Source organism: Homo sapiens, chromosome 9 (assembly GCF_000001405.40).
Source record: "Homo sapiens chromosome 9, GRCh38.p14 Primary Assembly".
Classification (NCBI taxonomy): domain Eukaryota; kingdom Metazoa; phylum Chordata; class Mammalia; order Primates; family Hominidae; genus Homo; species Homo sapiens.
This window is the reverse complement of record NC_000009.12, coordinates 132,515,612-132,533,064: the sequence shown is the minus strand read 5'-3', so window position 1 is coordinate 132,533,064 and position 17,453 is coordinate 132,515,612. Positions and strand designations below refer to the sequence as shown.

The 17,453-nt window shown below is 47.9% G+C and overlaps 1 protein-coding gene and 1 long non-coding RNA gene across 5 annotated transcripts in view, besides 1 other annotated feature; one reads left to right on the top strand and one right to left on the bottom strand.

Moving 5' to 3' along the window:
• CFAP77 (cilia and flagella associated protein 77) overlaps positions 1–17,453 on the bottom strand; it is a 163,109-nt gene that overhangs the window by 40,255 nt on the left and 105,401 nt on the right. The window contains exon 4 of one of the 4 annotated variants that reach the window (XM_017014711.2): positions 17,336–17,366. The exons of the other annotated variants lie outside the window; for them this stretch is intronic. Coding sequence (XP_016870200.1) covers positions 17,354–17,366 — 13 coding nt within the window. The 3' untranslated portion in view covers positions 17,336–17,353. Of the gene's footprint in view, positions 1–17,335; positions 17,367–17,453 lie in introns of those variants that run through there. 4 annotated transcript variants of the gene reach the window in all.
• Positions 548–7,669, top strand: LOC124902293 (uncharacterized). Its single transcript, XR_007061829.1, has 2 exons — positions 548–1,348; positions 6,997–7,669. It is a non-coding gene; the product is annotated as an uncharacterized LOC124902293 (long non-coding RNA).
• Positions 1,474–1,746: a silencer, noted in NCBI's record as "fragment chr9:135406706-135406978 (GRCh37/hg19 assembly coordinates)". NCBI's record gives its function as "represses an EF-1alpha promoter that drives an FKBP-Casp9 reporter gene in an ReSE screen in HepG2 liver carcinoma cells {active_cell/tissue: HepG2}" and the evidence as "EXISTENCE:reporter gene assay evidence [ECO:0000049][PMID:32094911]".

The following is a 17,453-nucleotide window of genomic DNA, read 5'->3' as shown; positions in this document are numbered from 1 at the left end:
CCAGGCTCTGAGCCTCCCAAAGTCCCATGAAGGTGCAGGCGATTATTTCTGTGCAGCTATGTAAAGACTTTCATCTAGGGAGAGAATCCACAGCTTTTATCTGATATTCTCGGCCTCCCAAGTGGCTGGGACCTCAGGCGTGCGCCACCATATCTGGCTAATTTTTTGTTTATTTTTTGTAGAGATATGGGTCTCACTATGTTGCCCGGGCTGGTCTCAAACTCCTGAGTTCAAGTGATCCTCCTGCCTCTGCCTCCCAAAATGTTGGGATCACAGGTGTGAACCACCACGCCTGGTTTATGTGTTTTTCAAAGATGCAAATGCCCCAGGAAGGGGTCAGAACCTCAGAACTTACCCTGTGACTTAATTTCACAGAAAAAAGAATGAGGAAATGGAGGTGCTGAGAGGGGAAGCGTCTCCCAGGGTCACACAGCTCAGGACCAGAGATGGCAGACCTCGAGCCTCTCACTCTGCGTTTTATGTGGCCTGCGTGGTGGTCTTAAACTTTGAAATCATTGTCAACACTTAAAATTTTTTCCATTCAAAAAACAACTTCCTGGAGTGTGTTGACATTTGTAAGTTCTGCCCATGCTGGACTGCACTCCTGGCTGCAGCAATTGGCCGGCGCTGAGTAAAAGTTCCCCTTCCGCCCCAGGCCTCACCCTGCCCTATCGCCCTATCAGGCTGGCTCCGCTCTCTGCCGGGCTCCTCCACGTGTTTCAGCTTATGGCCCAGAGACAGCTGCAGAGCTAAACCAGACCCTAAATATCCACTCCCTGGGTCCTGGCCGTGCTCCGAGGCCAGTCTGCCTCCCCTCCACGCAGCTCTCTTTGGGCCGGGGCTGAGCTGGGATTCTGTCTGAGCAAAGGTTCAGCAGCTTCCAGCTGCCGCCCCTGCGCAGAGGTCCTTCACACAGCAGCCTGTGGTGCTGCTACAAACGGTGGTTCTTTGTTTTCCAGTTCTTTTACCCCTGCGGTGACTTTTATTACTTAATTATTACACACCCCATGCTTCTGAGCAGCCTAATTTATAGCTGTGTTTTCTAATGACACTAGATTCATAATCTGAAAATATCTACCCCAAGAGACCGTTCACAACAGAAAAGCTCTCTTCTCAGCAGTCCCCGGTACATCCATCGCCACCACAAAGGCACCCTCAGCCCTCCTGCGGGCTCGGCTGACATCCTCATGTCTAGCTCCGGCCAGCAGCTCTTATTACTGGGAAAGGGGCTTGGGGCATGAGAGTAACCGACAAACCCTGGGAGTCCCAACGGCCCCAGCCTGGGTTCTCTGAAGGAGACCGGCAGGCTGTGCCCCTTCTGCTGGGGCGCATTACCTTGGATACAAAGGTGGAGAAGCTGGTTTGACATGGGGAGAACCTAGGACATAAGTCAGATCATATCACCCCTTGCTTAAAATGCCTTCCATGCCCCCCCCCCCATGTCTTAGCCTAAGCCCAGACTCATTGCCCGGGCCGCAGGTCCCTTCCAGCGGCTCCTGCCTCCTTCTCCAGCTCCTTCCTGACATTCATGCCATCCCCCACCTCGTCTTCCAAGCCCTGGAATCCTCTTTCTCTCGCTCAGCACACACTCAGCTTCCCCTTTGCCTTCGGGTCCCAGTAGTGAGGCCACCTCCCCAGAGGGCTCCTCCCCAACCATCCTAGGACAGCCCTGGTCCGGCGCCCTCCCACGCGGGGGGCGCTCATTCATTGGTTTGTTTGCTGATTTACAGCAGGTCTTGGCCATTGGCCACCAACATCACGAGGGCGGGTATGGTTTATATCTGGTGTGAACTGGCACAGTGCTGCTCTCAGTAATTATTTCTTGTTGAAAAAGACTGAGAGAGAAAGAGAGGACACATGGCGGGAGGGAAGGGGGGAAGGAGACAGAGAGAAAGGCTAGGCAGAATTTTAGGAGATAAACTTTTCATAATTCAGGATATTGTAAATTGGGCTATATGTGAGTTATAATAAACCAAAAGAAGCAAATGGAGGGAGATTGCAATTCAATGGAGGAAGGATAGTCTTTTCAACAAATGGTGCTGGAGCCTTGGATATCTTGGACAAAATAAACAACAAAGCAAACAAACATAACAAACTCAACCTAAGTCTCACACCTGATACAAGAATTAACTCAAATGGTTCACAGATTTAAATACAAAACATTAAACTATACAACTTCTAGAAGAAAACATAGGAGAAAATGTTTGGGATCTAAGGCTACGTAAAGAGTTTCTTAGACTCAACACCAAAAATATAACCCATGAAAGAAAAAAACTGATAAATTGGGCTTCCTCAGAATTAAAAACGTTTGCTCTGTGGGAGATCCGGTTCAGAGGATGGAGAGGCAAGCTATAGACAGGGAGAACACATCTGTAAACCATGTATCTGGCAAAGGACTCGTATCTAGAATAAAAAACTCTCAAAACTCAACAGTAAAACAAAACAAATCAAAACCAAAAAACCCCCAAACAATCCCATTAGAAAACTGATGGCCAGGCATGATGGCTCACGCCTGTAATCTCAGCAGTTTGGGAGGCCGAGGGGGGCAGATCACCTGAGGTCAGGAGTTCGAGACCAGCCTGGCCAACATGGTGAAACCTCGTCTCTACTAAAAATACAAAATTAGCTGGGCATGGTGGCGGGTGCTTGTAATCCCAGCTAATCAAGAGGCTGAGACACAAGAATCGCTTGAACCTGGGAGGTGGAAGTTGCAGTGAGCCGAGATTGCACCACTGCACTCCAGGATGGGTGACAGAGAGAGAGAGACTCCGTCTCAAAAAAAAAAAAAGAAAATTGGCAAAGCCTAGCCCGGTGGCTCAGGCCTGTAATCCCCCCATGTTGAGAGTCCAAGGTGGGAGGATTCCTTGAGCCCAAGAGTTTGATGGCAAAACCCTCTCTACAAAAACCAAAAAAAAAAAAAAAAAAAAAGAAAAGAAAGAAAGAAAAGAGGCAAAAGACATGAAGAGATATTTCATCAAAGAGAATATATGGATGGCAAACAAACACATGAAAGAATAGTCAACATCTGTAGCCATTAGAGAAATGCAAATGAAGACTATGATATCACTATGCCCCCATTAGTACAGCTAAAATAAGAGGGCATAATGACACTACCAAATGAGGATGCACAGAAACTACAGCTCCCATGCACTGCTGGTGAGGATGGAAAATGGCACAGCCACTCCGGAAAACTGTTTGGCAGTTTCTTTTTCTTTTCTTTTCTTTTCTTTTTTTTTTTTTGAGACAGAGTCTTGGTCTGTTGCCAGGCTGGAGTGCAGTGGTGCGACCTTGGCTCACTGCAACCTCTGCCTCCCGGGTTCAAGCAACTCTCCTGTGTCAGCCTCCCGAGTAGCTGGGATTACAGGTGCCTGCCACCACGCCCAGCTAATATTTTGCATTTTTAGTAGAGACGGGGTTTCACCGTGTTAGCCAGGATGGTCTCGATCTCCTGACCTCGTGATCCGTCCGCCTCGGCCTCCCAAAATGCTGGGATTACAGGCGTGAGCCACCGTGCCCGGCCAAGTATGTGTTTAGTTTTTTTTTTGTTTTTTTTTTTTATTATACTCTAAGTTTTAGGGTACATGTGCACATTGTGCAGTTTAGTTACATATGTATACATGTGCCATGCTGGTGCGCTGCACCCACTAACGTGTCATTTAGCATTAGGTATATCTCCCAATGCTATCCCTCCCCCCTCCCCCGACCCCATGACAGTCCCCAGAGTGTGATATTCCCCTTCCTGTGTCCATGTGATCTCATTGTTCAATTCCCACCTATGAGTGAGAATATGCGGTGTTTGGTTTTTTGTTCTTGCAATAGTTTACTGAGAATGATGGTTTCCAATTTCATCCATGTCCCTACAAAGGACATGAACTCATCATTTTTTATGGCTGCATAGTATTCCATGGCGTATATGTGCCACATTTTCTTAATCCAGTCTATCATTGTTGGACATTTGGGTTGGTTCCAAGTCTTTGCTATTGTGAATAGTGCCGCAATAAACATACGTGTGCATGTGTCTTTATAGCAGCATGATTTATAGTCCTTTGGGTATATACCCAGTAATGGGATGGCTGGGTCAAATGGTATTTCTAGTTCTAGATCCCTGAGGAATCGCCACACTGACTTCCACAATGGTTGAACTAGTTTACAGTCCCACCAACAGTGTAAAAGTGTTCCTATTTCTCCACATCCTCTCCAGCACCTGTTGTTTCCTGACTTTTTAATGATTGCCATTCTAACTGGTGTGAGATGATATCTCATCGTGGTTTTGATTTGCATTTCTCTGATGGCCAGTGATGATGAGCATTTCTTCATGTGTTTTTTGGCTGCATAAATGTCTTCTTTTGAGAAGTGTCTGTTCATGTCCTTCGCCCACTTTTTGATGGGGTTGTTTGTTTTTTTCTTGTAAATTTGTTTGAGTTCATTGTAGATTCTGGATATTAGCCCTTTGTCAGATGAGTAGGTTGCGAAAATTTTCTCCCATGTTGTAGGTTGCCTGTTCACTCTGATGGTAGTTTCTTTTGCTGTGCAGAAGCTGTTTAGTTTAATTAGATCCCATTTGTCAATTTTGGCTTTTGTTGCCAATGCTTTTGGTGTTTTGGACATGAAGACCTTGCCCACGCCTATGTCCTGAATGGTAATGCCTAGGTTTTCTTCTAGGGTTTTTATGGTTTTAGGTCTAACATTTAAATCTTTAATCCATCTTGAATTGATTTTTGTATAAGGTGTAAGGAAGGGATCCAGTTTCAGCTTTCTACATATGGCTAGCCAGTTTTCCCAGCACCGTTTATTAAATAGGGAATCCTTTCCCCATTGCTTGTTTTTCTCAGGTTTGTCAAAGATCAGATAGTTGTAGATATGCGGCATTATTTCTGAGGGCTCTGTTCTGTTCCATTGATCTATATCTCTGTTTTGGTACCAGTACCAGGCTGTTTTGGTTACTGTAGCCTTGTAGTATAGTTTGAAGTCAGGTAGTGTGATGCCTCCAGCTTTGTTCTTTTGGCTTAGGATTGACTTGGCGATGCGGGCTCTTTTTTGGTTCCATATGAACTTTAAAGTAGTTTTTTCCAATTCTGTGAAGAAAGTCATTGGTAGCTTGATGGGGATGGCATTGAATCTGTAAATTACCTTGGGCAGTATGGCCATTTTCACGATATTGATTCTTCCTACCCATGAGCATGGAATGTTCTTCCATTTGTTTGTGTCCTCTTTTATTTCCTTGAGCAGTGGTTTGTAGTTCTCCTTGAAGAGGTCCTTCACATCCCTTGTAAGTTGGATTCCTAGGTATTTTATTCTCTTTGAAGCAATTGTGAATGGGAGTTCACTCATGATTTGGCTCTCTGTTTGTCTGTTGTTGGTGTATAAGAATGCTTGTGATTTTTGTACATTGATTTTGTATCCTGAGACTTTGCTGAAGTTGCTTATCAGCTTAAGGAGATTTTGGGCTGAGACGATGGGGTTTTCTAGATAAACAATCATGTCGTCTGCAAACAGGGACAATTTGACTTCCTCTTTTCCTAATTGAATACCCTTTATTTCCTTCTCCTGCCTGATTGCCCTGGCCAGAACTTCCAACACTATGTTGAATAGGAGCGGTGAGAGAGGGCATCCCTGTCTTGTGCCAGTTTTCAAAGGGAATGCTTCCAGTTTTTGCCCATTCAGTATGATATTGGCTGTGGGTTTGTCATAGATAGCTCTTATTATTTTGAAATACGTCCCATCAATACCTAATTTATTGAGAGTTTTTAGCATGAAGGGTTGTTGAATTTTGTCAAAGGCTTTTTCTGCATCTATTGAGATAATCATGTGGTTTTTGTCTTTGGCTCTGTTTATATGCTGGATTACATTTATTGATTTGCGTATATTGAACCAGCCTTGCATCCCAGGGATGAAGCCCACTTGATCATGGTGGATAAGCTTTTTGATGTGCTGCTGGATTCGGTTTGCCAGTATTTTATTGAGGATTTTTGCATCAATGTTCATCAAGGATATTGGTCTAAAATTCTCTTTTTTGGTTGTGTCTCTGCCCGGCTTTGGTATCAGAATGATGCTGGCCTCATAAAATGAGTTAGGGAGGATTCCCTCTTTTTCTATTGATTGGAATAGTTTCAGAAGGAATGGTACCAGTTCCTCCTTGTACCTCTGGTAGAATTCGGCTGTGAATCCATCTGGTCCTGGACTCTTTTTGGTTGGTAAACTATTGATTATTGCCACAATTTCAGAGCCTGTTATTGGTCTATTCAGAGATTCAACTTCTTCCTGGTTTAGTCTTGGGAGAGTGTATGTGTCGAGGAATGTATCCATTTCTTCTAGATTTTCTAGTTTATTTGCGTAGAGGTGTTTGTAGTATTCTCTGATGGTAGTTTGTATTTCTGTGGGATCGGTGGTGATATCCCCTTTATCATTTTTTATTGTGTCTATTTGATTCTTCTCTCTTTTTTTCTTTATTAGTCTTGCTAGCTGTCTATCAATTTTGTTGATCCTTTCAAAAAACCAGCTCCTGGTGTTTAGTTTTTTTTTAAGAAACTGCCGGTCGGGCGCTGTGGCTCATGCCTGTAATCCCAGCATTTTGGGAGGCCGAGGCGGACGGATCACGAAGTCAGGAGATCGAGACCATCCTGGCTAACACGGTGAAACCCCGTCTCTACTAAAAATACAAAAAAAAATTAGCCAGGCGTGGTGGCGGGCACCTGTAGTCCCAGCTACTCAGGAGGCTGAGGCAGGAGAATGGCATGAACCCGGGAGGCGGAGGTTGCAGTGAGCCGAGATCGCACCACTGCACTCCAGCCTGGGCAACAGAGTGAGACTCCATCTCAAAAAATAAAAATAAAAAAACAAAAAAAAAACTAAACACATACTTACCAGATGGCCCGGCAATTGCTCTCCTGGGCATTTATTCCAGAGAAATGAAAGCTTAGGTTGACCTAAAAACTTATTCACAAATGTTCATAGCAGCTTTACTTGATTATTTGTTTAATTTTTTTTTATTTAAAGATGTAATTGAAGAATACATAGCGGCTTTAGCTGTAACAGTGCAAAACTGGAAAACAAAAACATCCTTCAATGAATGAATGAAAAGGAGAGGATGAAAAGACAAGCTATAGATCAGAAGAACATCCAATTCCATCCATACCATGGAATACCACTCAGCAACGAAAAAGAATGAACTCTCCCTACATGCAACATCTCAGATGAACTCTAGGCCTTATGCAGAGCAAAAAAGGCCAACCTCAAAAGGTTACACGCTGTGTGATTCCATATATTTAACATTCTTGAAATTTTCCAGGCATTGGGAAATAGAGGGAAGCAGGGTTCACTATAGGGGGTGTGAGGAAGATCTTTGGATGACAGAACAGTTTTGTGTCTTGATTGTGTCACACAAATCTACACATGTGATAAAACTGCAAGAACTAAATACATCACACACACACACACATACACACATGCCCACATGCAGATGAGGGCATATAAAATTGGCAGCTGAATGGAATCTGTGCATAGTACCAATGTCAAGTTTTTGGTTTTCATTTTGCAATCTAGTTATGTGAAATTTTGTCATTGTGGGGAACTGGGTGAAGAGGACGTGGGTTTTCTCTGTACAAACTTTCTCTTTAAAACTTTCTGTGAATTTATAATCATCTCAAAGTAAAATTTTTTTTAAATGCAATCAAGCATGCTAGTGGAAAGACTGAAATAGCTTTATACTTTTATAGAAAAATATTTTAAAATTACTATCATACTGGGGCCGAGCGTGGTGGCTCACACCTGTAATCCCAGCACTTTAGGAGGCCAACGCGGGTGGATCACTTGATGTCAGGAGTTCAAGAGAAGTCTGGCCAATATGGTGAAACCCGGTCTCTACTAAAAACACAAAAATCAGCCAGGCGTGGTGGCGCATGCCTGTAGTCCCGGCTACTCAGGAGGCTGACGCAGGAGAACCGCTTGAACTCGGGAAGCGGAGGTTGCAGTGAGCTGAGATTGTGCCATTGCACTCCAACCTGGGCGTCACAATGAGGCTCCATCTCAAAAAAAAAAAAAAATTACTATCACATAAAGAGGTAATCGAAGAGTATAGGGCCAAAAAATATAGGGTAAAAATAAATATGGGGTGTGTCGGCCGGGTACAGTGGCTCACGCCTGTAATCCCAGCACTTTGGAAGGCCAAGGCGGGAGGATCATGAGGTCAGGAGATCGAGACCATCGTAGCTAACACTGTGAAACCCCGTCTCTACTAAAAATACAAAAAATTAGCTGGGCGTGGTGGCGGGCGCCTGTAGTCCCAGCTACTTGGGAGGCTGACGCAGGAGAATGGTGTGAACCCGGGAGGCGGAGCTTGCAGTGAGCCGAGATCACGCCACTGCACTCCAGCCTGGGCGACAGAGCGAGACTCTGCCTCAATAAATAAATAAATAAATAAATATGGCACGTGTCAATTAATTTTTTTTTTTTTGAGACAGAGCCTTGCTCTATTGGCCAGGATGAAGTGCAGTGGCACAATTCCTGCTCACTGAAACCTCCGCCTCCCAGGTTCAAGTGATTCTCCTGCCTCAGCCTCCTGAGTAGCTGAGATTACAGGCTCACGCTGCCACGCCTGGCTAATTTTTGTATTTATGTATTTTTTTTTTAGTAGAGACAGGGTTTCGCCATGTTGGCCAGGCTGATCCAAACTCCTGACCTCAAGTGATCCGCCCGCCTTGGCCTCCCAAAGTGCTGGGATTGCAGGCATGAACCACAGTGCCTGACCCCGGGTACTTTTACACACAAGCTCTCCCAATTGTCCTATAGAAACTATTCCAGAACTTTCCACAACTTTTTCTAAAACAGCTTCCCAAATCATTTTATGATCACAAACCGAGACAAGGAGAATATACACACTACTGGTCAGTCTCACTTATAAACACAAATCAAAGAATACTAAGTAAAATAGGTTGGGCGCAGTGGCTCATGCCTGCAATCCCAGCACTTTGGGAGGCCAAGATGGGTGGATCTCTTGAGCTCAGGAGTTCAAGACCAGCCTGGGCAGCATGGCAAGACCTTGTCTCTAAAAAAAATTAGAAAATTTAAAAAAGGATGCTATGTATAATAGCACCAAATCAAATAGGCTAATGCATTAACAGCAAAGGCCCCTTGTAATATCTTGCATTCATCCTGGAGCCTGGGAGTGGGGGTGGCGGGGCAGAAACCAGACACATGGATGCAGCTCACTCCCTGCCATTTCTCACCAAGCAGCCAGCCAGGGGAGGAAAGAAATTCATCTTCCAATGAAATTGGGAGTATTGATGATACCCGAGCCTGGGCATATTAATTAGAGCATGGAGATTGCTTTTTGTAATTAGAAGTGACCAGAAAAGCCGAGGAAGCCTGAGGTTTCACCTAAGGGACCGGGAAAGAAGTCAACCCTTAGAGCAGGTGTGAACAGGCCTCTCAGTCAGGGCTCAGGTGTTCTCGGACCCCCCTGTGCCTCCCAGTTGTTCACTGAGCTGGTCACATTTGTAAAAGCGACGGCCTTCATGATGAAATATTATGCAGCTGCCAAAAAGAATGAAGTGGCTGTGTGTGTAATGAGCCAGAGAGATCCCTGAGACACATCATGTGTAAAACAAGAAGTCAGGGGAGGAGACATACAGTACAGGTGCCTCTGCACAAACGTGGGTGGATGAAAAAAAGACTGGAAGGTCGGGCGCAGTGGCTCATATCTGTAATCCCAGCACTTTGGGAGGCTGAGGCAGGTGGATCACTTGAGGTCAGGAGTTCCAGACCAGCCTGGCCAATGTGGCGAAACCCTGTCTCTACTAAAAAATACAAAAATTAACCGGGCATGGTGGCAGGTGCCTGTAATCCCAGCTATTCAGGAGGCTGAGGCAGGAGAATTGCTTGAACCCGGAAGACGGAGGTTACAGTGAACAGAGATCATGCCACTGCACTCCAGCCTGGACAACAGAGTGAAACCCTGTCTCAAAAAAAAAAAAAAAAAGAAAGAAGAAAGAAGCCTACCAGTGATGTCCACAGCGAGGCCCGAGGCAGGGGAGCAGAACTAGGGATGGGGTAAGGAAGACTTTCATATTTCAGCTTACTTAGTGGTTGTATATGATCCTTTTGCAAAGAATAGAGGAAAAAAAGGAAAGAAAAGGACTCCTGAGAGTTGGCTGAGGCCGCGTGGCCGGTGGTGAGGGTGATGAATTCCGGTCCCCAGACTCGGGGTCAGGACACATTCCCAGCTCCGCCTACCATGCACAGGTCCACACCGAACATCAGATCAGAACTCTCCAGGCCGTTTGTTTTCCACCACAAAGCACCCGGGGGTGATCCTGCCTTCCTGGAGCCATGGGCAGAACCCAGCCCTACCCCACCATGCACTGGGGACATCTAGCATTTCCCTGTGTACTTGACCTTTCAAGAATGCAGTTTTAGGAGCTGTTTTTCCTGTTGTCTTCCATAACCATTTTTTGATGCTTCCTTACAACACGTTCAGTTTTTTAAGTAAATGTAGTTCTTTATGGTAAAATATAGGCATTTTTCCCACCCCCAAAATGAACGATTTTTGCCCCAGGCGGAGAGCCCCTGTGGTAACAATTACAGCCGTCCATTCTTTTGAGGCGCTGGAGGGGTTCACATGGAGGATCTTAATTATTTATCCTCACTAAATGAGCATGGAAAAGGTAGGAATGGGAAGCGAAGCCCAGAGAGGTCAAATGGCTTGCCCAGGGTCACACAGCACACTCCAGTAGCAAAGCCTGGACTCCCACCCTTCCGGCTGCAGTGTCTTCAGCCAAGAGAATTTGAATCAATTTTCACAAAAGAGAGGGCAGTTAAGGCTGAACAACACTGCCCAGCAAGCCAGGTGCACATAGAGGCCAAGTCCAGGGGCCCTGGCTATTTTCATATAGGACCCCAGACTTTCCCAGACACCGTCCTTTGTCCTTGGACCCTGCAACAGCCCCCATCCCCTGGCCCCCTGCTCCTCATAGGAGCCAGGGCTTTTTAAAAAAATGCAAGTCTGGGGCCGGGTGTAGTGGCTCACGCCTGTAATCCCACCACTTTGGGAGGCCGAGGCAGGTGGGTCACTTGAGGTCAGGAGTTCAAGACCAGCCTAGCCAAAAAGGTGAAACCCTGTGTCTACTAAGAATGCAAAAATTAGTTCGGCATGGTGGCGTGCACCTGTAGTCTACTTGGGAGGCTGAGGCAGGGGAGTCGCTTGAACCCGGGAGGCAGAGGTTGCAGTGAGCTGAGATTTTGCCACTATACTCCAGCCTGGGTGACAGAGTGAGACTTCATCTCAAAAAAAAAAAAAAAAAAAAAAGCAAGTCTATTTCTGTCTTTCTCAGCACAACCAGTGGCTTCCCATTGCCCCTGGGAGTGCATGATTCTCGAGGGTCTCCAGCTCAGTCCCTCTCCTACCCCCTCCCAAATGCAGAGTCCTCCCATACTTCTTCCTGGACTCCTCTCCTTCGCCTGGCGGACACCTCTCGAGACCTCCCTTAGCTCTGCCCACTCTGCCATGCCTGCACTTTGCACATGCGAGGTGTTTGAAGTTCTTTATAATAGTCGGCTCAGGGTCCACCTTTCCCACCAGGCTCTGAGCTCCACGGAGCAGGGATGGTGCTGGGTTGTCCTCTCCAAATCTCCAGGCCTGGACCGTCTGCACTCAGTAGAGAAGCTGAGTGACTCTGGAAGCCTTTGGAAACTCCTTTCCTGAGGACATGTGGCCTCAACTGCAATGCCCAGGAGGAGGTCTTTGGAAGAAATGGGCTTTTCCTTGGGGAACCTAGTGATGGGGGTGGGGTGGCCCCGATATCCTTCAGGACGGGTGCAAGCACCGAGGACACGTGGCCTCTTGATTCCCTTCTCTCTCTCTCATGGGAAGATCAGCCATTAAGTCGGCATGTCAGGGCCGATCCTGTATCCTCACTGCCCTGGAGAACAGAGAGCCCGGCCAGGCCGGCAGACGCCATGGAAGCAACCCCTTCCTGAAGACGAATGAGAGGAGGTTCCTGAAGCCGAGGACAGGCTGGAGGAGCCAGGGAGATCTGCTGCTCTCAGACCTGTTCCTTATGAATCTTCAGGACTGTGTTCAGAAGTAATTCAGGCTTGGGAACATCTGTGCTTCTGTGTGATACTGAAAGGGTCTGCCCAGGCAGTGGGGTAGGGATGGAGGACTGCGGGCTGCTCCTAGGCAGCACGGCCCTCCTGGCCTTCGAGGCTCTTCAGAGCCCAGGGAGAGAGGAATGGAGGGCTGGCCCTGCGCCAGTGTCTGGGGAGGGGCTCCTGGGCCAGGGGGCAGAAGGAATTGGGTCAGGTCCACACCGGACCTGAGGCCAGGAGCTTGGTGAGGGCTGGGGATCCTCCTGGAGGCAGGGGAAGGCACTGACTGAGAAGGGACATGAGAGACTTCTGGGATATGGAAATGTTCTGTATCTTTTAATTAATTTATTTATTTAGAAACTGGCTGGTGTGCGGTGGTGCGATCCTAGCTCACTGCAGCTTTAATCTCCCAGACTCAAGCAATCCTCTCGCCTCAGCCTCCTGAGTAGCTGGGACTACAACACTCACCACCGTAACTGGCTAATTTTTAAATTTTTGTAGAGGTGGGAGTCTCACTATGTTGCCCAGGCTGGTATTGAACACCTGGCCTCAAGCAATCTTCCCACCTTGGCCTCCTGAAGTCCTGGGATTACAGGTGTGAGCTGCTGTGCCTGGCCTGGAAATGTACTATATCTTCATTGGATACCCAGGTGTATAAATTTGTCAAAACTCATCAAATTGTGCATGGATCATTGTATTGTCTGGAAATTACACCTCAATAAGGCTGTTTCAAAAGAAAAACTAAAAAGACAAGATTGAGGAGTAAATGGCTGAGGCAGGAGTTATAGCAGAGGAAAGGCTTTATGAATGTACTAGAGATGGTTTCTGAGTGAGAGGAGAGGGGAGGGGGCATGATGCCAGACACTGTTGCGGTGTAGCAGAGTGGATTAACCTGGGGGAGGGGGAATGGTACAGGATTTGAGGGCCCAAGGACATTTCAGGGGGAGGAAGGGGACAGCAGAAGGGCAGTGCACCTCATGAATGAGATCTCAACTCTACGTTCACTCGTTCGTTAGTCCATCCATCCACCCATCCACCCACCCGTTCATCCATCCATCCACCCATCCTCCCATCCACCCACCCATCCATCCACCTATCCATCCATCCATCCATCCATTCATCCACCCACCCACCCATCCATCCATCCATCCATCCATCCATCCATCCACCCACCCATTCATCCATCCATCCATCCATCCATCTATCCACCCATCCATCCATCCATCCACCCATCCATCCATCCATCCACCCATCCATTCATCCATCTACCCACCCACCCACCCATCCACCCACCCACTCATCCATCCATCCATCCATCCATCCATCCATCCATCCATCTGCCCATCCACCTACCCACCCAACCATCCATCCATCCATCCATCCATCCATCCATCCATCCATCCATCTATCCATCCATCCATCCATTCATCCATCTACCCACCCATCCATCCATCCATCTACCCACCCACCCACCCATCCATGCATCCACCCACCCACTCATCCATCCATCCATCTACCCACCCACCCATCCATCCATGCATCCACCCACCCACTCATCCATCCATCCATCTACCCACCCGCCCACCCATCCATCCACCTATCCATCCATCCACCCAACCATCCACCCACTTGCCCACCCACCCATCCATCCATCCATTCATTCACCCACCCATCCATCCATTCATCCATCCACCCATCCATCCACCCACCCACTCACTCATCCATCCACCTATCCATCCATCCACCCAACCATCCACCCACTCACCTACCCACCCACCCATCCATCCATCCATTCATTCACCCACCCACCCACCTATCCATCCACCCATCCGGACCATCTAGGAGCATTAATGGTATGTCTGAACATGGGGGTGGCTCCCTGCCCTCTGGGGTCACAGAGCATACAGCAGAAATAACCATCCTCACAGCTCACACTCCCTGCCTGCCTCCTCAATCCTTGGGACAACAACTCGAGAGACTGATATCAATATCCTCACTTTACAGATGAGAAATCTGAGGCCCAGGGAACGCCACTGTCTTGCTCAAGACCACGCAGTAGTCATTCGAATCGTAAGCCTGTGGGGGTAGCCACGCTGCAGCCCTATCGCCCTGCAGTGCCAAGGGCCAATGCCAGTGTAGACAGCCACCTGCAGTGTGGCCGGAGCTCAGAGGAGAGAAAGGTTAATCCAGCAAGTGGGTTGGATGAGGGACATCTCCTCTGAGGCTTTGGACAGATCTCTGGGGATGGGTGGAAGGTGGCCGGGCAGGAGAGCTCCAGACAGGGAACAGGGTGAACACAGGCAGGACCGCCAGCTGGAGATGGGCCTGATCCACCCTGAAGAATAAGAGCGATTCCAAATGCCTCCCATCCTAACGAGCACTTTCTATACCAAGCCCTCCACGTGCAAAGCTCACCGAGTCCTCACAATTCTGGAAGGGAGGATGGAGACTCCTGGCTTTCAGAAGGGGAAATTGAGGCTCAGAGAAATGGAGCGAGTTGCCCGTGTGATGCTCAGGGATGCAGAGTAGCCAGACAGGAGAGCCAGGATCCGAATCCGGGTTCCCCTGGCCCTGAGGCTTTTTGCCCCTAATGGTTAAGCTGTGTGCTGAGCGGCTCCAAGGCGGGTCTGAATGATCCAGTCATCTCGTCCAGGTGGAGGTAGCTTGGTCAAGCTGTGCTTGTTGGCAGTTTGCTTGCCTGGACTTCTGAGTGAGTGTTTCCCCTACACAAAGGAGTCCGATTTGTCCTGACTTCCACGCTGGGCCCCATCCAGGGGTCTCAGGCCCTCACACTCGGGCTGTGAGGGCTTCCAAGCTGCTGTTTCTACTGTTTGGAAAGCCGGGCTTTGGGCTTGCCTGTGGACTCCTGAACAGCCTGTGTCGTGATGACAGGGCCCCTGCTAAGAGCTTCGACAAATTATTTGCTGATAACCTGGCAGGAACCCCCCAGAAAAGTTTCTCACCACCGGACGCGCCCACTAGCAACAAAACCGGGTCAAAACTCAGTCCCATAAAGCGAAAAAGGGGGAATGAAATGAAATCAGCTCCTACTTGGGATAGGCCTCCCAGAAACTTCAAATTAGTTCCATCAAACCCATCCTGACTGCTCCGCGATTGATACCCCAGACCAGGGGTTGATCTCCGATGCAGGCACAGGGGATGTGCAGGGGAAATGGAAATTATCATTTGCAAACATTAGGCTGACACTTTGTGTGTGCGGGGGATGAGGGCTGACAGCTCTGATTTGCCGGTGCGGCTCCGCTCTGCCAGGAGTGCTCTGTGGATTAGAGGGGCCCTTTCATGGCAACCCATCTTCATCTTCGCTGCTCATTAAAACTTTGTGGAGCTGGAGAACTTGGCGGAAGAGAGGAAGCTGGAGGAGCCTTCTGAGGGACTTTAGGTACACATTTGTTGAAAGGTGTTTCAGAAGGGAGACTTGGGTCTGACAAACTGGATTTTAGTACGGCTCTCCGTTCACAGCAGGCTAAAATAATTGGTCATCAGTGACTACTAATTCGGTTTAGTAGCCAGAGGCGATTTTTTTCTTCCTGGAAAATCAATGACAGCGCCGAGGTCTGTTCAACGTGATTCCACTCAAGACGGGTCCTTATTTGGCTCTTGATGCTTCTTCCAGTGGAGACAGCTATTTTGTTAAAATAAAATTAAAATCCATCTCTAATATGCCAGCAGTCTGCTGCTCCCGGGGGCCGGGGAGTTGCTGGCACCCTCGCAGCTGAGAAGGGACGGAGGGGCGGATGGTGGCCTCTGAGGCTGGGCCTGAGACCGTAGATGGCTGGTTTGGGAGGAGGGAGAAGGCTGGAGGGCTGGGCTTCTCTCCACGATACGAAATCGACACCCGATCCATGAGGGACACCCAGAAGTGGAGCCGTCTAGGGAGATCCACCCTCTCCACCTGCCGGATGGGGTTTCTGAAGACCGCCCTCGTGTTCTCACACAGCCCCGAGCTGCGTGCTGCAGGGCTGGGGTGTCTCCCTTTTTCCTTGGCACCCAGGGCTTCCTGAATGACGTGGCTGTCCGACTGTCAAGTGACTTCCATGGCTGTTTACTGAGCACTTTGCTTGTGCCTACAGTTTCACCGTGGTTTTTTTCTAACAAGCGATTATAACATTGCCCGTGGGTACCAAAGCTACCACTAAATCTATTTTTTTTTAAACTGAAACTTTTATGGAGATCATTGTAGATTCACTTGCAGTTTGTACGAAATGATGCAGAGAGATCCCACGTGCCCCTTACCCAGTTTCCCCCAATGGTAACTGTAGAATAAAATCACAGCCAGGATAATGGCATTGATACAGTCCAACAACGTCATTCAGATTTCCCTGATTTCGCCCATACTCGTGTGTGTGTGTGTGTGTGTGTGTGTGTGTGTATTTCTGTGTGGTTTAATCATGTGTTGTTTTATGTATCCACCACCATAGTCAAGACACAGAACATTCCATTCCCACAAGCTCTCTCCTCTTGTCCTTTGGAACCACACCCACCTCCCTTCCACACTGCACTCAAGTTCCAGGGACCGCATCATTTCATCCCGACAAGAAACCTACTAGACAGGAACTACTATTATGTCAGCCCCACTTTTTGTATAAATAAACTGGAGTTCAACAAGATTAAATAACTCACTCAGGATCAGCGTTGGGTGACTACTGCCCTAAAATGGTTGCAAATAGCAGACTCTAGGCCAGGTCTGGCCTGCAGACATGCTTAGTTTGGCCTGTAGCATTTTGAAATCTTAAGTAACCAATATATATTTTTTTAAAAATCAGAAGATTCACATAAAAGTCCAAATGCCTGGCTTTGTTTACTGAGATGTTAGATGATCTGGTAACACTGGTACACATTCCTATGTGTCCACAACTGGCTGGAGCTGCCAACTTTAGACCAGGTATGTGCCCCAGTTTGCTGCAGTCCCCACCACTCCCTATAGCCTTACACAGGGCCAGCCTCCCCTTTTATCTGCCAGGCCTCTGCAGGCTCATGAATTTGTAACCCTGGTTCTACGCCAATTAAACAACAAAAATACTTGGTGCCTCTCTCTCTTCCCAAGAGCCCAAGGAACTATTCACTGATGGATTTGACACAATTTTTTTCCTGTAGTGGAAGGAGTGTTAATCCCACTGACCGACGGAGAAACGGAGGCCCTGGAGAGTGTGTGGCCTTCTCAAAGTTCCTCACCATGGAAATGGGAGAGGTCTGTGTTGAGTCTCGAGTCTTCAGGCTTCAAGGCAAGTTCTCTATCCTCTCTCTGCCTTCATCTCTGCTCGCTGCAGAAAGGGGTGCCAGGAGAGGCAAGGAGGGGAGAGAGAAGAGGGAATTCCTCCTTTCCAGGAGGGAAAGGAGTAATGAGGCCT